This window comes from Homo sapiens, chromosome 3 (assembly GCF_000001405.40).
Source record: "Homo sapiens chromosome 3, GRCh38.p14 Primary Assembly".
NCBI lineage: Eukaryota > Metazoa > Chordata > Mammalia > Primates > Hominidae > Homo > Homo sapiens.
Window position 1 is genome coordinate 31,679,986 of NC_000003.12, and position 22,366 is coordinate 31,702,351.

General features: G+C 45.1%; 1 protein-coding gene and 1 long non-coding RNA gene across 18 annotated transcripts in view; both read right to left on the reverse strand.

Annotated features, from left to right (window-relative positions):
- Positions 1–22,366, reverse strand: part of OSBPL10 (oxysterol binding protein like 10) — a 416,868-nt gene that overhangs the window by 19,161 nt on the left and 375,341 nt on the right. For all 17 annotated transcript variants that reach the window (XM_047447390.1, XM_047447386.1, XM_047447391.1 and 14 more), the window contains one exon: positions 3,649–4,129. In XM_047447390.1, the coding sequence (XP_047303346.1) occupies positions 3,649–4,129 (481 nt within the window). The remainder of the gene's footprint in view (positions 1–3,648; positions 4,130–22,366) is intronic.
- Positions 17,628–22,365, reverse strand: LOC124909360 (uncharacterized). Its single transcript, XR_007095858.1, has 2 exons — positions 20,089–22,365; positions 17,628–19,979 (listed from the first exon to the last, which is right to left on the reverse strand). It is a non-coding gene; the product is annotated as an uncharacterized LOC124909360 (long non-coding RNA).

Consider the following 22,366-nt stretch of genomic DNA (forward strand, 5'->3'; position numbering starts at 1 on the left):
AACTTCAAGAGTCCCCAGTCTGGGCTGAAACACCTTTTTGAAACCTGCCAGGGGGCTTTAACCCAAACAGTGCTGCACGGTGGTAGCTCCCTGTCGCTTCATCCAAGGAGAAGGCAGAGTTCAGGAGAACAAGCAGTCACTGGGGTCAGAAAAGAGGCCGGTGAGGAAATACCTCTCGTTCCTCTAGCCCTGCCCCCACAGAAGCACACTTGAATCAAGTTTGTTTTCTCAGTGTCAGAGAGAGGCCTCAACAGCCCTGGCTGTGTCCATATAGGGCTCTAATCGCCCTTGACCTGATCCCCCTTCCCCGGCCCACCGCCTGCTGCTCAACCCTGCTCCTCTGCTCTTCCTGGGCTTGTGAACTCAGGGGGCTGCCTGAACCTCCTCAGATTCTGGTATCTCATCCACAGGTCAGAGATGAGCTGAGAAATGGCCCCTGACTCAAGGAGACCCCAGCACCTGCCCTGCATCCCCCTTCAATGGCTTGTGCTGAGGGCAGGATGGATACTGTGAATTATGCATGGGTTCCTAGGCAAGCTGCCTCTCTCGGGCTCCTCATCTGTGAAATGAGGATAGCTGGACTCATCCGGGGTCTGCTGAGCATTCTGAAGCAACAGAACCCTTTCGGAAATAAACTTGTATAGGGAAGTCCCTCTGGTAAATAGGTAAGGATGGATGGAGATACTCGGGCTGGAGTGGACTTGGAAGAACACCAACCTTGCCACTCACTTCCTGTGCCCCTCTAAGGAGCCTGGGATTCTCTACAGCACAGCTGGAAACCCTGGAGCATATGGTGGACAAATGCCCTTTCAGCTACAAGATTTCATGGTCCAGTCATCACTGGTAACAACTCCTCTTTAAGAAGAGAGACCACTTCAGGCATCCATCTCCCCTTGTCAACAGCAGGAAAAGCCAGACAACCCAGTCATGAATTGGGATTTTTCTAATTGGAAAATAGTTGTAATACTGCACTCTTACAGAAGATAACCTAAGAGGAGGATAATACTCATTATTGATGAGGTTTATCTAAAGATAGATGTATTTTTACATCTTTCCCCCACAGATACAACCCACCTCCATCTGAATTGTGGAAAAGGCCTAAACTGGGTGACCCAAGATCATCCTGGTGACAGGTGTGTCCCTAGCTTCCTACACAAATTAATGAATGTCTCATTGGTGAACTTCTTGATCCTGATTGATCCTTGAGAGGAAGGTGTGACGAGTGCAGCATGAGCTGCTGATTACTAGACCTGCATGCAAGGAAGACCCCAGTGAAGGCCCAACACGAATGCTGAGTACACCTGTGGGCACTCTGGAGTTGCCATCTTACCTATGCAAGAGGGGGAGCAGCGCTTTGGGGTGTAAACCTAACAGAGAAGTGGAACCCAAGAGTGGCTATTTTCCAAAACAGTACCATTGCATGCAAACCCTAAATAAGGAGGAACTGTCCACATTTACAGTCCCTAATTCCTCTCCTTCCTTCTCTCTTGACTTTATTCTAGTCAGATTTTCACTAGTGCTACTCCACTGACAACTGCTGTCAAGGTGACGAATGACCTCCATGATCCAAAATCCATGATCCCTTCTCAGTTCTCATCTTACTGGAGTAACCAGCATCATGTGATGCAGTTGATCACTCTCGCACTTTGAAGCCCTTCTTCACTTGCCTCGCAAGGAGCACCTTCTCCCATTCCATTCAGTCTACTTCTCTGGCCACCCCTCATCAGTCTCCTCGGCTGGCTGTTCATCTTGCAGACCTCTTAATGCTGCTTAATGCTTCAGAAATCAGTGCTCACTCAGCAGTCTCATTAGTCTCAAGGCCTTAAATATTTTATCTCAGCCAGGACCCTCCCTATGAAACTCCAGCTTGCATACACAATTGCCTACTTTAGCACTCCCTTCAATGACTAAACCCTAACAACCGCCCTGAGCTCCCATACTCTTCCTTCAAAGTAGCCCAATACCCAGCCCTCAAGTCTCCCCATCTCAGTTTTAACAGCTAGTCCATCCTTCTAGGTGCTCAGGTCAAAACCTTGGCAACACTTTCTCTCACACTCCACATCCCATCCAGAGGCAGATCCTCTTGGCTCTAACTTTAGAACCTATCCAGATCCTTACTACTCCACTACATTTACTTCCTCCACTATTTTCCACCTGGTCCAAGCCACCATCATCACCTGCTTAGTTATTCTCACAACCTCCTCCCTAGTCTCCTTGTTTCCACCATTACCCCCGCCCAGGGTCTGTTTTCAACAAACGGCTGGAGCAGTCTTGCTGAACTATGAGATTGAGCCTGGTACTCTCCAGCTCAAAAGCACCAGTGGCTTCAGGGCTCCCTCACTGTAAGAGCCAGTGTCCCTAGCAATAGCCCATGAGGTCCTATGTGATCTGGCCACCATCACCTCCCTGACCTCCACCTGCCCCTGTTCACCCTGCTCCAGCCACATGGGCTTCCTGTCTCCATCCCCGTGCCAGGGACATTTTACCTGTAGGCCTCTGCCTCATTCTTTCTGCACACAAACTCTTTCCCAGTGACCTATAAGGCTTGCCTTACCCCTCTTTGCCCGCTTTGGGTCTTTGCTCAAATATCACCTTAGTGAGGCCTTCCCACTGGCCAGCTCATCTGAAAGCTCAACTGCCCTCTCCCTGGTCTTCCCCGGACCCCCACCTGCTTTGTTTCTCTACAACACTTACCATTCTTCAACTTACCACACAATCCATTTTATTTACTTATTTATTTCATTTCCCCGTGAGAAAGAAGGAGAACAGAAGCATCATCAGAACAGATCTTTTTTGGTCTGTTTTGTTTGCTCAAGTAACCACAGCTCCTAAGGCAATGCCAAGCATCTAGTAGGTGCTCAATAAAAATGTGCTAAGTGAATGAAAGGTGCTCTTATCTCATGGGGTTTTGGAAGGGCTTCTAAGGAGCCATGTACTCCCTGAAACTCAAAGACAAATTTGGAGTTAGATTCCTTTTTTCTAGGAAGAGAATCACAGCCTTAGAGCCTTGAAGAGATTTGTGACTCAAAAAAAAGTTGAAGAACCAGTAACACAGATGCTTGAATTTAACAAGGATTATTATAGGTTTCTTCAAACAATGAATAAACTTCATTCACAGCTATTTGCTAAAATAAGAATGTGTGATCCACCAGTGGCGTGATTATACTATGTTCTTGCTTCAGAATTTCCAGCATAGAGTCAAAAGATTTGTTTTGGGAATTTTTACGAGCAGATTTTGAATAGGCAGCATGATTATCCTCATTGTCTGTGAGCCAGAACACCGGTGAGAATGAATAAAAATGTGTTTTCACAGATTTGGAGGCCAACTCTTATATTCATGCAAAGCTGAAAGAAAACAGTACCTGTAAGGTGTGCACGCACGCGCGTGCACAGCATGGGAAGGTCCAGGTGGGAAGGTCCAGGTGGGCGGCTGTCAGGCAGATAGTCCGTTACCTTGGCCCCGCTGGGAAATTACCAGACCTTGTTCCCAAACAACAAAACCTGACCCTTTTACCACCCACACTCTAATTCCAAAACCAGTTAAAAACAACAACAACAAAAAACTCCACACACAAAATTATCAATCATCTACCAGGTATAGAAACGTCACTGTGTAAGAGCCAAACTCCAACATACGACATGGCTTACCTTCCCCTATCATAGAGACCCCCACGGACATGCCCATGAACTTGCTTTTGGTCCATACATGAGTGTTGACGCACAGTCTCTTCTCCTCGCACTCACAGTAGAAGCAGGAGATGGGTGGGTGATGGGACACTTGCTCAGCCACAAACCTTAGTTTGTAGCTTTTGGAAGGGTCATCGGCCATTGGGTGTTCGTGACAGCTGGCAGGAGAGCGGGAAGCAGTCCTCTTAGGCTTGACCCTGTCCTTGGGAACTTCCCAGGAGCAGTGAAATGTCTCGCCTATGATGGGGTTGTAGGGCTTCTTGGCTAAAGCGCCCTTGCGGCCCTCGTGAAAGGCTGTGAGATAATACTCAACGAAGCAAATGACTCTCTCCTCTGGTGTGGCCCCAGCGGTGATGGCCAGCAGTAGGTCTGGGTGCGCCATGAAATCTGCATACATCTCCAGCAAAGATCGCTTCTCCAGGATAAAGGTGGGAAGCACCACCTGCATTTGGAAGGACACAAAGTCAGACAATCCCTGGGATTACACGGAAAAGCTGAAAAGAAAGGTAAAGGCTGCAACCACTGTTAAGCAAATTCATAACATCTCCAGCCAGGGAGCAGTCTGTTTTGACTTGTGCACACATGACAAACCAAGGGAAACAATATCAAAGAAATGAGAAGTGGCAGTGGAATCAACGAGAGCCCAGCTTTGTGGACAAGACTGCTCTGAGTGATTTTCTTCCTTGTTTACCTGGGCTAACACAATAGTCTCTGTCTCAGTCTCCACTGCCATTTCTCCCCTAACTCTCCATTATTTAGAGATGTGAAGAAAACAGCCTGGAAGGGCTTTTCTGTATTCCCCCTGCCATCAGGCAAGACCAAGTGGGCTGGGGCAGGGGAAGGGAGGGGTCGGCAATCAGTGTGTTCTCACAAACATGGATACTGGGGTTTGTTGGTGCCACTTCATAGGGGGTCCAGGCAGACCAGGACCCACCACCAATGACAGTGTGCACTGGGAGGCCTCGGTAGAAGAATGGTGTACAAGCCCCACCATGACTGAGGAAGGGTAGGACTGTGGAAAGGGCCCAGCTCCAGGACGGGGCAGGCCCATCAGCAGGCAAATATCCACAGAGCTGCCGCAGACAAGAGGGGCCATGGTGATTCCATCTGTGGAGGTCGGTCCTCAAGGCTGGTCCAGGAGAAACCAGTGGAAGTTACAAAGCAGGCTGGCACTTAACATACAGAACCTGCTGCTAAAGGACTGGCAGAGTGGCTACCCCTAGGTTTGTTATTGGCACCATGATTGAAGACAGAGACCTTGTAGAGGCCCGGATAACTCTGGTAGAGATAAGACAGAGACTCCTCATTGATCCAAAGTGGATCCAGGTGGTCACTCAGGGGGCTCTACAACCCCAAATGCCTGTAACCCAATGATTATTTAATCATCTACTGTAAGTCACTTAAAGCAACTGAAGGGTACTCTGAAACTGGGAAGCCCATAACTCATTACTGCTACTGCTTTTTAAAGAAGAGAAAGTCCATTTTTCACTGTCCTAGAGTGATCTTAAATTAACTTGAAACAAATATCGGGTATTTTTTGTTTGTTTTGAGACAGAGTCACCTTCTGTCACCCAGGCTGGAGTGCGGTGGCACAATCTCAGCTCACTGCAACCTCCACCTCTTGGGTTCAAGTGATTCTCCTGCCTCAGTCTCCTGAGTAGCTGGGACTACAGGCACATGCCACCATACCCAGCTAATTTTCTTTATTTTAGTAGAGACAAGGTCTCACCATGTTGCCCAGGCTCATTACAAACTCCTGAGCTCAAGCAATCCACCCGTCTTGGCCTCCCAAACAGTTATCGGGTATTAATAATCCACCCACTTAGCTGCAAAACACAGCCAGCCTTAACCCAGAGCATCTCATTCTGTTCCTCCTAACGTGGACTCACAGGATTTTGAAACTGGAAAGCTAGCCCAGACCTGCTGGGCCACGCAGGGAACACACCGGGTTCCAGCGAGTTGACCAATACCATGGGGCTGGTTTACAATCTCTCTTTACATAACTAATTCTGTCCTTCCTTTCTGCAGTCCCTCACTCCCATGAAAACATTTGGGAGGGTGTATGATCACGGACCACAAATATCACACAGGCTCACAGATCTGTAACCCTGACTCTACTTCAGGATTCCAACACCCTTCCCTGCAAATGACTTGGATGTGATGGAAGGGAGAAGAGATGCTGCTGTGGTCTGAGTTTGTCCTCTCCCAAATGTGTGTTGCAATTTGATCCCCGATGTGGCAGTGTTAGGAAGTGGGGACTAGTAGAAGGTGTGTAGGTAATGGGAGCAGATCCCTTATGAAGAGATTAATGCCTTCCTTCAGGAGCGAGTTCTCACTCTCTCAGGACTGAATTAGGGACCGCAAGAGCATGCTGTTCTAGAAGCGACTTTGGCTTCCTAGACCCTTGTGCTTCCCACATGATCTCTGCACACACACCCGCTCCCTTTTCTGCCACGTTTTGACCCAGCACATGGCCCTCACCAGAAGCCAGCCAGATGTGACACTATGCTCTTAAACTTCCCAGCCTGCAGAATTGTGAGCTAAATAAATGTACTTTTCTGAAAAACGACTCAGTCTCATTCTGTCACAGCAACACTAAAGGGACTAATACAGATGTCCAGAGAGAGATAGGCAGACATGAGAACAGCAAAGTACAGAAATTTCAGAGGAAACTAGAAAAAGCCCCATCTGCTAGAGAGGTAAAGCTTGGTAGATCTCCTTTAATGCTTTTCTATCTTTCATTTGAAAAGTATGTCAGGAGAAAATGTGCCTGTCCTAAATAAAAAAGCAGCCAGATGTAAAATTGAACATGTAATACAATCCAAGAATCATAAAAACACTCAAAATGTTAACATATCTGTCCGGGTGACAGAACTGAGTGATTTTAACACTTTTTTTTCTGAGTATCTTTCTGCTTTGTTTTTATAATACACACAAGGAAGAAACATTATTTAAAAACACAACTATGCAAATCAATGGAGGTTTCCTAATTTTCTTTAATCCACGACTTGAAAAAATTGAGAATCTGGCTGTCCTAGGATCTTATCTGGCCAAGAAAAGCATTTAGCTTGAAATAACCTTCAGATGCCACCTCTATTACTTCCTATGCCTTTTTCGTGGGGACAGGTCATCATTCAGCAACCATCACTGTGCTCTCTGGGGGCTGCTCTTCCAATGAGGCTTCACTGGGGTCAGGCTGCTGTGTTCTCCCACCACTTAGCTGTCCAATAGCAGAGTAAATAACCCCCAAATACTCACCACACTTCCCTCTTCTGCCCCAGAATCACCCAAGGGCTCCCCTATGAACTCCACCCAGACAGGGTGCACAAGCTGGGGAGTGTGAATTTAAGCAGCTTGGAAATCCCTTAATGAAGCCAAATCAATGACAAAGGACAGGCTGCCACAAATGTCTGCATCTGCATCCCTTCCCCAAGTGACTCCGTCTCCTGCTCTCTCCCTTCCCAGGTCCAAGGGGCCCTGTGATCAGAAGGCAAGCCAGGGGAGGGGAAGGACAGAAATATACACTGAGGCCATCAGCCCTGATGGGTATAACTTCAAACAAAGATAATTGCGTAACCTTGGCTCGTGTCTTTTTCCCCACTCTATGGCAATGGGGCTTCTGTGGCAATAATTCCACCTCTAGACAAGAATCTTCATGTTTGTACCCAAGATTAAAGTTAACAAGGAAAACTGATACAATATTTACTCTCTAGTGATGTACTTTTGAAAAGGAGAAGAATTTAAGATATTTCCCCTAATTTAGTCAGCATTTCTGAATTCAAAAGCTGAAGGATTTAAAAAAAAAAATAAGTAAATAAATAAGAAAAAGAACTCCACTTGGAACCCTGAGTCACGGAATGTCAGAACTAAAAAGCAAGATGATTTAGTGCACTGCCCTGGTCCCACAGGTGAGGGCGCTATGCCTGGGCCACCCAGTGGCCGAGCCAGCAGGGAACCTCAGGCTCCCAGGTGCCACCTCCAAGTCCCTGCCATTACCCCATGACACATCATGATTATCTGCTTCTGGTTAACAAGAACATCTTCTCTCAGTGGACAAGGGAGACAGCTAGGATGTCTGGGCCACCCCAGCTGCTGTCATGGATTAAGAAGAGGGGGAAGAGCCAGGTATGGTGCCTTGTGCCTGTAATCCCAACAGTGGGAGGCTGAGGCAGGAAGAGTTTAAGACTAGCCTGGGCAACATAGTGAGAACCCATCACTACAAATAATAATAATAATAATAATAATAATAATAATTTTTTTAAAAGAAGTGGGCAAAGGAGATCAAATGGGCAAGAGAATGGGACATGAGCCCCACCTTTTAGGGCCATTTCACTCTTCCCAACATAGCAAGAAAATCCACCATTCCAAACAGTATCATTAATATCATAAATGGGAGGGAGATCGTTGCAATGAAGGAAGGGCGTAGGAGGCGTGGCTCCTGAACTGGAGGCCCAGCATCCTGCCATACCTCCAACTCTCCTCCACACAACAGCCAGAGTCATCTTTCTAAAATCTATGTAAGAGATAACGCCCCCACCTCCCTCTGGTCTCACACGATGTCCTGACTGACTGCCCCCATCCCTCCCTGCACAAATCTCTCTCTCTCTCTCTCACACACACACACACACACACACACACACACACACACACTCCCTTTTTCTGCCCTTTCTCCTGCCCTGTCTCTATGACAAAAAGCTCATCAGCTCAAGTAGCTCCCTGCTCTGTGAAGCTTTTTTTGACAGTTCCTGCTTTCAAGGCTAAAGCAACAACCCCTCTCTCCTATCCTCTGCACCTCACACATATCTCCACCTGCAAGGCTCTTTTGTTCTTATTAATGCACACGTTTCAAAACTGTAAGCTCTTAGTGGATAGACACCTGACTCCTTAATACCTAGCAAAAAACAAGACAAACAGATGAACTGCATGAGAGACACCTTTGTTTCCTTTGACATGTTTAAGTTACCCATATTTTTAAATGCAGATTCTCATTCACTATGCTTTTAATTCTTCTGAGTATATCCAGCCAAGTTTTCAGTTGCTGCTTCTCTCGAGCAACATGAGAATATTCACATACATACCAACTTCTAGGCTGAAGCCAGCTTACACAGAATCTAGCTTATTTCAGGAACGTGTTTTGGGTGGTAAGGAACCAGAGCCTGATGTATCAGAAGTGCACTCTAAATGTCTAATGAATGAGTAGACTCAAACCCGGTCTGCCCCACACTCTTCTGGATCTCCTAAGACACCTTTGGGGCCAAAAAGAATGTGGCTGGATGACCTCCAGGATGGGCCTTCAAAGGCTCCAAAGGAGCCAGAAGGAATGAAATTGCCTAGTCTGAAGGCATCTTCCTCTTCTCTTTATCAAAAGGAAAAACAAAGGCTCTGCTCAGCAACTTCTGCCAATTATTACTGCCCAAATTGTTTAGTCTGGCTCTTAACTATGAGGAAAAAAAAAAAGTCAAATCCAAACTGAGGAACAGTTTGGAAAACAAAAATGAAAGCAAAGAAAACCTGACTTGAACTCTTCAGTATCACTGCCATGAAAGGGAAAAAGGCGGGGAATTTTCTTGACTAAAGGAGACTAGAGACATCATAATGACCAAATGCAACATAATCTGGGTTGGATTCTGGAGTTTTAAAAAATGGCCATAAAGGACATGATTGGGACAAGTTGGGAAAATTTACCATGGGCTGAATATGAAATAATATTGCCTCAATGTTACATTTCCCAATGTGACACATGTATACTATAATGTCCTTATTCTTAGAAGACACTCACCAAAGGGGTAGGAAAGAACTGTCATGATGTCTGCAACATACTCTAAAATGGTTAATCAAAAAATAAACATACATGTATGATATGGTTTGGCTGTGTCCCCACCCAAATTTCATCTTGAGTTGTAACTCCCACAATTCCCACGTGTCGTGGGAGGGACCCAGTGGGAGGTAATTGAATCATGGGGGTGGGTCTTTCTTGTGCTGTTCTCATTAACAGTAAGTCTCATGAGAGCTGATGGTTTTATAAAGAGGAGTTTCCCAAACAAGCTCTCTCTCTTTGCCTGCTGCCATCCATGTAAAACATGACTTGCTCCTCCTTGCCTTCTGCCATGATTGTGAGGCCTCCCCAGCCATTTGGAACTATAAGTCCGTTAAACCTCTTTTTCTTCCCAGTCTCAGGTATGTCTTTTATTAGCAGCATGAAAATGGACTAACCCAATGTGTTACACACACATATACATGTATGTGTACGGAAAAAGTTCTGGAGGGAAACAGCTTGAGAACTAGAGAGAAAAATGGAAGGAGGAAGGTGGGAGGAGGGGAGGAGAGAGGTTGGCAGAGAGGGAAGAAGGGAGAAGAAATGCAAAGTACAAAATGTTAGTAATTGGCCAAAAAAGGTGAAGAATATATGGGAGTTGATATGGTTTGGATTTGTGTCCCCACCCAAGTCTCATGTCAAATTGTAATCCCCAGTGTTGGAGACGGGGCCTGATGGGAGGTGATTGGATCATGGGGGCACACTTCCCCTTGCTGTTCTCATGATAGTGAGTTCTCATGAGATCTGGTTGTTTAAAAGTATATAACACCTCCCCCTTTGCTCTCTTTCTCCTGCTCTGGCCATGTAAGATGTTGAGAGCTTCCCCTTCGCCTTCTGCCATGATTGTAAGTTTCCTGAGGCCTCCCCAGAACTTGTACAGCCTGCAAAACTGGTCAATTAAACCTCTTTTCTTTATAAATTACTCAGTTTCAGGTAGTTCTTGATAGCAATGCAAGAACTAATACAAGAGTCCATTGTGCTACTCTTGCAACTTTACTGTAGATTGGAAAATGTTCAAAATAAAAAAGTTGGAGGAAAAAGAAAAAAGGTTCTACTGGGAATGCAATACCTGAGAATAATAATTTTCAAAGACAACCTTCCCAAAATTGTGGACTGAGGGAATATGGGCTCACAGCCAACATCAAGTCCAACCTACTAGGTATGTATTCTGTACTTTAAAATGACGTGGCTTTGTCAGAGCAGGAAAAAAATAGAATACCTGGAGAGATGGAGCAGAATGGGTTGGGAGCAGAATTACTATTTCCTCTTTCATCTTCTGTTGTGTGTTTCATTGGAGTTTGTGCAGAATGCCAGATCAACTTCAAAACCAGCAACTGAACATTCTGGACAAGATGTCATACTTTTCATTAAAACAGACTTCCTAGTCTGGTCTGATTTCTTCCTCTCCTACAATCTCCTGGGCACCCTCTCCTTTTTTTTTTTTGGTGTGTTTGCAAATAAGTCATTTAATCATCCATTTCTTGGACAGTGAACACCAGGGATACAGAGCCAAGGAGTGGTGAGTACTAATTGGGTTGTCTGCCTCTGACAGAGGGTGAGTGACGGCCCAGCTGTTCAGACTGATGGCATCCAAATGACCTGAAATCACTGCTGTGGATTTACCGAGCCATCAATAAAGACTGCCTTTTCTTCCGTTAACATAATTAAGACAGTGAACTATTTGGGGGGAAGGAAAAAAAGAGAGGATCTGCACTAGGGACTCAGAGAACAATTAATTACATTTAAAGTTGCATCAATCTAAAAGTAAATAACCAATCTTCAGGTTGGGATCTTAGGCTCTTAGAAATCCGAAATAAACAATCACCCATAGGGGAAGGCGAAGGACACTTGGAAGGAGGGACAGTCCCCTCCCCACAGCAGGGAGCACAGCTGGCCTCTGCAAATAGAAGGCCAAGAGTAGGTGCAATTTTCTTCAAAGAAACATCAGTTGACTGGGTGCAGTGGCTCAGACCCATGATCCCAGCATTTTGAGAGGCTGAGGTGGGAGGATCGCTTCAGCCCTGGAGTTCAAGACCAACCTGGCTGCAAGACCTTGTTGTCTCTACACAAAAAATGTTTTTAAATTAGCCAGGTGTGGTGGTGCAAGCCTGTAGTCTTACTGTTGTCTTAGCTATCTGTAGGCTGAGGCAGGAGGATCACTTGAGCCCAGGACTTTCTGGCTGCAGGGAGCTATGATTGCACCACTGTATGCCAGCCTGAGTTGTCTCTTTAAAGAAAGAGAAAAGAAAGAAAAAAGAAACATGACTTCATAACCTTGGGAGCCATCTTCGTATTTTATCCTTAGATTGGCAAACACACCCAGTGCAAACAAGCAAGCAGAGAGGCCTCCACCACCGCAAAGGTTCATTTATGTCCTATTTTGAGAAAACCAGGAGAAATACACAAAAATCCAATTTTACAAAATAAAGCGCAGACAATTCACACTGCAAAAGGTTTCTTGACTTAGCCAACCTTTTCCCTAGGTTTCCTTAACCTGCCAGGTTCCCTCACACCCATTTCATGGTGCCTGAAACATTATGAAAAGCATTCATTAAAATTTTTGTCAGATGGGAAGAGTTTGAAATAAAATTTTACTTTTTCCAAGAAGATATTTACTATATAGAAAGATATCTGTTGAAGTTAATCCCTGTGTTTTTCCAGAGTCCCAGACATCAGCTCACAGAAGGAATTCAGTTGGGAGCAGAACGTCATCCCTTAACAGTGACTAGCCATGTGTACGTGGCAAATTCATCTCCCCAGGACTCAATTCCTCAGCTGTAAAAATAGAGAAAATAAAAATACCAACCTTCTAGGCTGATTGTGAGTATTAAATGGCAGTGTTAAATTAGTCCAGTGCCTACCTAGTATCCAGGAAACGCTCATTCTTTGCTGGCTCAGATTATAGACCCCTATAATCAGGAATCAGTAACCTCATTTGGAGACCAGGGAAGATACGAGCAACAGGCATTAGACACAAACTTGTCACATAATATTTCAGTGACAATGTTGAAAGCTAAAATGACTCACAATGCCCAGAGCAACCCCGAGACCACCTCTGACACTTCTGTAAACAATCAGTCACCTGCTCAGAGAAAAAGGAGAAACAATTGTATAAGACAAAAACATTGCTGTAAGAATATATGAAATATTTCAGATTTAAACTGTTTTTAGAGCTCAAGCCAGGGCACAGTGCTTGGGTTTCACACTCATTATCTTATGTAATCTTCTTAGATGTCTGTAAGCAGGTACAACTATTCCATTTTACAGATGAGGAAACTGCCCAGAGAGGTTTTGCAATTTACAATGGCTACGTCAGTGGAGAGCTGGAATGAGAATCAATTCTGCTTGGCCAAGGCCCATGCTGGGTTGCTCAGCGCCCCCAAGGGGCCTGAAGACTACCATTGTGACTGTCACTCTTTCTAGAAGTGTGGATTGATGAACTGCTGCCAACAGGACAGAAAGGGAGAAAGAATGGAGATCGCATAACTGTGTCGCCTCATGAAACAGATTTACACAGACAAGCTTAGGGAAGCCAGGTCTCCACTCTCTCTTCTATTAAAAGGCAAACACTCGGGAGAGATAACAGGCTTTGCTTGACAGTATACTGAAAACCAGATTCAGGGAGAAGAACAGCTGGAGGGATCTGGCAAGAGAAGTGGAAGCAGGATCAGGGAGACCAGAGACCCCTGAGGTCCATATCTCTGCCTTGTGGGGTTCATTTCCAGGATAAACACTGGCCTTCTGACCCTTTTCATTAAAATTTCCCTTTTACAAAAAAAAGCTCAAGCACAGCAATGTTAATCTTTGCATATTGTGATTGATGCTAGAAATTGGGCCTAATGAAATAATTCAATCAAAGGAAAAAGGCTGTATGCCTAAGAAGATGTTCACTATATCATCACCTATAACATCAAGAAGCCAAAAAGAGACAACGTGGCCAACCACAGACTATTTGTTGGGAAAGTAAATAACGCAGCAATGTGGTAGAATGTTATATATCCATTAAAGCGTACACAGGTAATGATGTCATTTTCCATAAACCTGTGGTGAGAACATGATGTCTGCTGTAGTGTGATTCTATATACCAGGGGTCAACAAACACAACCCATGGGCCAAATCTTCACTTGCTTTGACAAACAGTTTTATTGGAACAAACTATAACCATTCATTTCTGCATTTTCTACGGCTGCCTTTGTGGTCAAATGGCAGAGCTGAATGGTTGCAGTAGACACAATACGGTCTGCAAAGCCAAAAACACTTGTTATCTGGTCTTTTATTTAATTAAATAAAATTTTTTTAAGATAAGGTCTTGCTCTGTTGCCCAGACTGGAGTGCAGTGGTATGATCATAGCTCACTAGAGCCTCAAACTCCTAGGCTTAAGTGATCCTCCTGCCTCAGCCTCCCCAGTAGCTGGGAACATAGGTGTGTGTTACCACACCTGGCTAATTTTAAAATAGTTTTGGTAGAGACAAGGTCTTGCTATGTTGCTCAGGCTGGTCTCAAACTCCTGGACTGAAGTGATTCTCCCACTTCAGCCTCCAAAAGCACTGGGATTACGGATGTAAGCCACCTGTCTGACCTTTTACAAAAAATGTTTGCTGGCCGGGTGCAAAGGCTCTTGCCTGTAATCCCAGCACTTTGGGAGGCCAAGGCAGGCAGATCACCTGAGGTCAGGAGTTCAAGACCAGCCTGGCCAACATGGTGAAACCTCATCTCTACTAAAAATACAAAAATTAGCCAGGCGTGATGGTGAGCACCTGTAATCCCAGTTACTCAGGAGGCTGAGGCAGGAGAATCACTTGAACTCGGGAGGCAGAGGTTGAAGTTAGCCGAGATCATGCTACTGCACTCCAGCCTGGGTGACAGAGTAAGACTCTGTCTCAAAAAAAAAAAAAAAAAAAAAAAAAAAGGTTTGCTGACCCCTGCCCTATATTATCCATATATCTTATATTCTTTTGTATCTGTTCAATATTAAATTTTAAAATTATTTTAATTTTTTAAAAAGTTTCAGTGAACATTGCTGATTTTTGACACGTAGTCAATGCTTTCTAAAAATGCAATCAATTTATAATGCCATCAGCAAGGAGTTGGGGTATCATTTTTACCCTGTATACACTAAATATGTATCTACTATTTTGTTGCTGATTTAGAAGGTCTAAAATAAGGTCATTTCTTTCTTTGATTAGTAACAACTTAAATAATTCTTTAAGACTCATAGAAAATTATCTCAGCAAGCTCTTTCAAAGCATAAATCTTTTGTTTGTTTGTTTGTTTTGTTTTTTTGAGACGGACTTTCACTCTTGTTGCCCAGACTGGAGTGCAATGGCACAATCTCGGCTCACTGCAACCTCCGCCTCCAAGGTTCAAGCGATTCTCCTGCCTCAGCCTCCCAAGTAGCTGGGATTACAGGCATGTGCCACCATGCCCAGCTAATTTTGTATTTTTAGTAGAGACAGGGTTTTTCCATGTTGGTCAGGCTGGTCTCAAACTCCCAACCTCAGGTGATCCGCCCACCTCAACCTCCCAAAGTGCTGGAATTACAGGCACAAGCCACCCGGCCTCAAAGCATGAATCTTGTTTCATGTGTTCTTGATTGATGAGCTATGAATTGGGTATCTTTAGGTTAGGGACCTCACCACCGGAGCACAGCTCAATCCACTAGTTTTAGCCACAGTCTGCATCCCCCACCTTCTACCTACTCTCTGAAGCCAGCTGTGCTCTCTGAAAGGGTTCAAAATACACTGTTCGAGGTTTTTCTATATCTGTAACACTGGAGTTTAGACTAAATCCTCTGAGAAATCCACATAGGGTTACAAACAGGCACACTGTCATTATCTGTAACTGCCACCCATAATCTCAAGTTCAAGCATCCCTCTCTCTGCTATTGCCCCATATGTCCCATTCACCCCATCCAGTCCCTAGTCTTACCAGCACCTTTGACCCATTGACCTTTTACTGTCCACCACCCCCTTGTGGTCTCACTTCCCTCCACTCCCAGTATAGAGTCCCTGGCCCAACCCTATACTTAACTCCCTTTGATCTATGCCAAGCAACTCTGCCACTCTCTCCCTCCATCCAGGCACTAACCAAGAAAACCTTAACTCTGTTTAATCCAGCCCCTCACATTCTGTATATCTCAATCTGGCAGCTCAACTTTCTTGGAGAAACAGAGACAACATGCAGACTCTTAGTTTAAATTCACAACCTCAAAACCTTAAGTGGCCCCCTGGTGGTGTGTGACAATCCTCCTACCTGCTTCCTCTCTCTACTTGTTCCCTGTCTTCTCCTCCCTTCTCAAACCTCTAATAACCCTTTGCTCTTTATCACTCTCAGCTGGTCACTTTCCTGCTTTTCTCACTGGGTAAATTGAAGCAGTCCAGAGAGAAGGTTCACTTGATAATCATAATAGCAAACACAGCACTCACTCTGTGCCAGGCACTGCTCTGAATCCTTCACACGTCAGTATGCATACATACAGAGCGGCCCTATGAGGAAGGTACAATTATCAACCTCCTTTTAAAGATGAGAAAACAGAGGCACTCAGATGCAAGGTAATATATAGATAGGAACTCAGTGGGGATGCCAGCCCAGGCAGTCTGGCTCAGAGCCATGTGGTTAACCATGAGGGTCTCCTGCCATCTTCTGGTGTCTGCACCCCTCTCTCTGCCTGCCCCCCTGCTGCAATGGATGCATTATGCTATCTCTGGCCAACTCCCCTTCCATGCACTGGATCCCATGCCCTCTCACCTCCTCAAATTCCTGCACTCATCTGCTTCCTCTCTCCTGCAGCATTTTTTCTTCTGTCTCCTAATCCCATCAGCATTCAAGCATCTTAAGAAACCAAATCTCCCTTAATTTCAGATACTCCTACAGTTTCCACCCAATTTTCTGTTCCCTTTTATATCAAAGTTCCTTTAAAGAGCTATCTTTACTCCCCGTCTTTATACCACATTTTTTCCCATTCTCCCTTGAATGCACTCCCATCAGACTTTGGCAAAGCCAAATACAATGGTCCATTTGCAGGCCCCAGCTTTCTTGACCCATCAGCAGCAATTCAACACAGTTGATCAATTCTTTCTTCTTGATACTCTCTCTTCACGTGGCTTCCACAACATCACACTCCTCTGACTTCTATCTTACTTCACTGGCTGAACCTTCTTCATCTCCTTTGCTAGATTCTTCCCATCTCCCTGACCCCTCCATGTTGGAATATCCCAGAACCCTGTAATTGGATATTTTTCCCCATGTCTCTACTCACTCTCTAGAGAAACTCATCCAGCCTCACGGCTTTGACCACCATCTATACATTGTTTCCTCTCAAACTTGTACCTGAGCCTCACTCATGAACTCCAGATTTGTATATATCCAAATGCCTACATGTCCTCTTGAATGCCTAGTGGATGGATATCTCAGACCTAATCAGATCCAAGACTGGATTTGTGATAGCCCCAACATCTCCAACGTGTTCTTCCCTAGTCTCCTCCTCCTCCATAAAATGGAGTGGTAATCTGTTACACTGATGACTTCCAATGAACCACACCTCCTGGAATTTACACTCTTGCATAATCCTCCTTCAATCTGGCCTGAATCTGTGACTTACTTTAATCAATAAAATAGAAGTGATCTTGTGCCAGTTTGGGGCCTAAGTCTTAGGAAGGCTTACCGGCTTCCACTTTTGCCCCCTTAGAAGCCTTGAGCTGCCATTTAAGAAGTCGGGCGACCCAGTTGGAGAAACCATGTGGGAAGAACACACGGAGAGGGAAAGGTCCTAAGACTTCATGAAGAAAGAAGAGCCCAGCTGTTCCAGCCAAGTCCAACTCACCAGTGAACAACAGGCAAGACCAGCAGAAGAGCTGCCCCGCTAAGCCCATTCCAGATTGCATAACCATGAATAAAAAAAATTGGGGGGGGGTTAGTTACCAGCAATAGACAATTGAAACAAATGGCAACTAATAATAAATGGCAATTAATAATAAAACAATAAAACAAATGGCAATTAGTAATTATTATTCTAGCTGTTCAGGCCAGAAATAAAAGAATAAAACAAAATTTAAAAACACAATAAAACAAAAAATAAAAAACAATAAAACGAATAGCAATTAATAATAATAATTATTCTAGCTGTTCAGGCCAAAACTTTACAGTCATCTTTTATTCCTCTCTCTCATACTGCACATCATATGCAAATCCTGTTGGCAGTATCTTCGATGCACATCCAGAATCAGCCACTAGCACTGTGCCACCAGCACCTCACCTAGGTTATTACAGTAGCTTCCTCCTCTTTTTTTTTTTGAGATGGAGTCTTGCACTGTCACCCAGGCTGGAGTGCAATGGAGTGATCTCAGCTCACTGCAACCTCCGCCTCCCGAGTTCAAGCGATTCTCCTGCCTCAGCCTCCCAAGTAGCTGGGATTACAGGCACCCACCACCACGCCCAGCTAATTTTTTGTATTTTTAGTAGAGACAGGGTTTCACTATGTTGGCCAGGCTGGTCTCGAACTCCTAACCTTGTAATCCACCCACCTCGGCCTCCCAAAGTACTGGGATTACAGGCGTGAGCCACGGTGCCTGGCCAGCTTCCTTCTCTCTTCTACCCTGACCCCTGCTGTTCACACCCTAGTCACCCCACCTCAGTCTATTTTTCACAGCAGAGTCAAAATTACCCTTTAAAAATACAACTAAGCAGGTATGGTGGCTCACGTCTGTAATACCAGCACTTTGGGAGGCCAAGGCAGGTGGATCACTTGAGGTCAGGAGTTTGAGACCAGCCTGGGCAACATGGTGAAACCCCATCTCTACTTAAAATACAAAAAATTAGCTGGGCATGGTGACACGCACCTGTGATCGCAGCTATTTGGGAGGCTGAGGCAGGAGAATCACTTGAACCCAGGAGGTGGAGGTTGCAGTAAGCCAAGATGGCACCATTGTACTCCAGCCTGGGTGATAGAGCGAGACTCCATCTCAAAAATATAAAATAAAAATAAAACAAAAATACAAGTAAGGCCACATATTCCCTTGCTCAAAACCCTCCAATGGCCACCATATCACTCAAAACAACATCCTGAGCCCTCACAATATCCTAAACGGCCCTATAACCTGCTGTCTCACCAACTTACTCTCCTGCCAATCCCACTCAATTCACTCTGATCCAACCACATTGGCCTCATGCCCAAATGCCAAACAAGGTCCATCTTGGGCCTTTTTCACCCCCATCCCCTCCGGCCAGAACACTCTTCCGTAGATGCTCACATGGCTGGCTCCCTCATTTAAATCTGGTCTCCACTAGAATGTTACCTAGTAGAATCCTACCCTGACCAGTTTACCTAAGAGGGACCCCCGTCCCACCACTAGCTACCCTCCCTGATATGCTCTATTTCTCTTCATTATACTTCATCTCCATCTCCTTTTCTTTTCCCTCCCTCCTTCCCTCTCTCTCACTTGTTTCTTGTCTGTTTCCTTCCATCATCACTCAGGCCCCATCAGGGCATGGATTCTCAATGTTCTGCTGCAATCCCAGTGTCTAAAACAGTATCTGGCATGTGCAGTGCTCAACAAATACATGTTACATGAGTGAACACGTTACAAATTGTTGCTTTTCATATCCCTGAAAACTAGGTAAAAATGGTCCTACACCTGCAAGCTCAATATTGCATTTTGTGGGCCCTTCTCCTTGGAGCTTGGAACTTGGCACAACAGTCATGTCAGGATCTCCTGAATACCACATGATGTTACTCATTTGCTCAAACTTTCCAAGGCTTCCCATAGCCCTCAGGATCAAGTTTGTCCCCTTCACATGGCCCATAGGCTCTGCAGGACCTGATCCTAACGTCCACTCCAGGTTCAATGGAGCCACTCACCAGCATGCACAACACGCCAGACCTTCGGTGACCCTCCACCTCACTGTGGTTCCTCCATCCTCTCTTCTTTTCTAGGCTACCCACAATTTGTGGAAATACAGTGGGTTATTCCAGTGGAGGTAGTCACCAGTAACTTGGGGTTATGGTGCCACCCTGAGGAAAGAGGGCAGACAAGGGTGCTTCTAGAGGCAGGACCAGCTACATGCTGTGTGGGGCACAGTGGAAAGTGAAAACACAAGTCCCCTTGTTGGAAAATTATTAAGAATTTCAAGACAGTGATAGCAGGGCATTAAACCAAGCATGGAGCCCTTCTGAGCATGGGGTGCTGAGCAACCTCACAGGTCAAACATCCACGAACCTGGCCCTGTCTGGTAACCACAGTGAACCATCGCAAGATACAGCACTATGTGCCCAGTTGGGCTGGTAATGACTCACAAATGTGTCAACACTGGCACATCCTCAGGGACACGGAAGTGTACTTGTTTTTGGAGAGGGACTAGACCTTCATCCTTGAGGTGAAGAAGATTTTCTCTCCAGGGTGCCTGCTCATCAGATACTCCATTCTGGCTAAGTTCTTCCATTGCTTATTTAGTACAGGCTTAATTTAATGACATGGACAACTGCCAAGAAGAGAAAAGGGGACAGTACGGAGAGAGGAAATTTCATCAACCTTTTTATAATACAGGGCAACAGAAGCCAAGAAATCTCATGGGATAGTAACAGTTCTACCTCTTTCCCTCACAAGTATTTCAGCTTGTCAAGTCTTCCTTTGGTTTTTGAATGACAGAGTCTTCCAAGTAAAGTAAGTTAATAAACTATAGACAGGAAACGTTATTCTTTCAGGTACTCAACTGAGTATTGGGAGAAATGCAATGTCTGCTCTTTCAAGAAGAGGCTGTGGCTCTGGAAATGCAAAACAATCATATTCTAATAAAACAATAATAAATATGAAATGCACAGTTGTGATATTTCTTTATTTTAGAGCAAGACAGGAATAACGTGAAGTCGCTCAGACACTCAGCTTGCCATAATATAGTCCCCTCAATATTTTCTTGCTTCTCCATATCTGACCTTGGCAATTTCAATTTCTCTTACAATCTCTTTCCTCCATCATTCATGATTCTGAGTTTTATAAACATTAAAAAAAAATCCACAATGAGAATATATCCTACATCGTTACCCAGTACACATGTATCAAAAGAACTAGGTTTCATGTGCAGAATGCTCTGATATTTTCTTCTGTATTTTATTTCATTCTTTAGAAATGGTGGCCTGACCTCCACTAAATTGGTTTCACAACTCACTAATGGTTCATGACCCAGTTTGGAAACACTGTGATTTTAGATTGTACTTGTACACGTTATCATCCACACTTCATCAAACTTCAACTCAAGCTCTGTCTGGGTGTCTACACAATCCACAAGAATAAAACATGGGCATCTTTTAAAAGCCAAGCACTTAAATGACTCCTGTAGCTGAAAAAACAATAAGCATTATCCAGCTAGGGGACTGAGATGAAGGGAAGGCAGCAGCATGGAGAACAAGTCGTCATAGCTTGGTGTGCAAAACAGAAGCAGCCACACAGAGGGTGGAGGATGGTGAAGAAGGAACTTTCTATGTCTGGCGTCCTCAGTGTGGGCCCACTGTTTTGTTTAAAGTGGTGCAGTCTCCCAGAATATCAGACACGCTCACATTCAAACCCATGAAAACACTTCAAAGAAAAGATTTGTCTGTCATCTGAGAGGCTCCTATCTCCTCAGTCTCTCTCCTGTCTTCTATAAATGGTTAGTCACTCTGTTCTGTCATCTTCCTCCTCAAAGAATTCCTCACACTACTGCCGCTTCCCTCTCTCTTCTCTTGCCCCCTGCCTAGTCCGAGATGAGATTGTGGAATCCAGAGCCTCCACTGTGGCCAACCAAGCCAACTGCCCTTAGGGCTGTTCCCCAGGCTGTGCCTTCAGTGGCTCTGACATCCATATTTTTCTAGCTGGCCTTCAGAATCTAGAACTTCCTTCCCCAGCACACCCTCCCCGCAGATCATGTCTGTCTGTCTGTGTAACAGCTGCTTCTCTACCCTACCACAGTCGAACCACATAACATAGCATTTCGTAAGGATAAGATGGTGACGCACTTGCTAGGAGCTCAGCACTGGGTTAGGTCCTCCGCACGCCTCATGCGATTCTCACACCACCGTGCCAGGAAGGCTCCCAACTGGAGTAACTGGCTGGGAGTGGAGCCCAGGAAGGCTGAACTCCAGGCTCTTTCTACCACCTGACAATGGCCCCAGTGACACCACACAAGCTTTCAGCTACGTACAAAATTGCCTTTCCTGCTTGCCTCTAGAATGAAGCTACTGACTAGAGGTGAGGGGTGACGTATGTGGGACCCTCTCCATGACGTTAGTGGTCAGGACACTGGTTCTGTTGGTGAGGTTCCTCAGGAAGCATCCTGCCTGCACTCAGCACCAAGAAGAGTTGGTTCCACTTCTACCTATGGCAATGAGATTTGGATCAGCAACAAGGTTACCCTTGGGGACCAGCTGTTACAGCTAAGGACAGCCCTCAGAAGGTCGTGAGGTTGGGCGTGTAGAGTGGCGTCATTCCTGGTGCCACCATTTCCCTTCCCCATCTTTTCCCTCTATGGCCACTGTGCATAGCCATCTCTATAGGCCACCTACAGTTATCTCTAGAACATAGCAAGAAACAAAGAAATAGTACCTTGAATTTTCCATACCATCTCATATGCTTTTTCTGATGTTCTCCCTGCCCTTGTAGAGTAGCAACAACTCCTCCCAAGATCAAATGCAGGGCTGTCCAGCCCTGAGGATAACCATTTATGTACAAATGTCCTTTCAAATTATACCTGGAATATCCATACTTGAAAGCAATGCTGGCCTTTTTCCCCACTCTTCTTCTCCAATCTCACCACAACGAAAAGAATGTGCATAGAGAAGGCTTGAGGATAGAGACAGAACCCCAACAACTGACCACAAATCCAGGGGACATGCC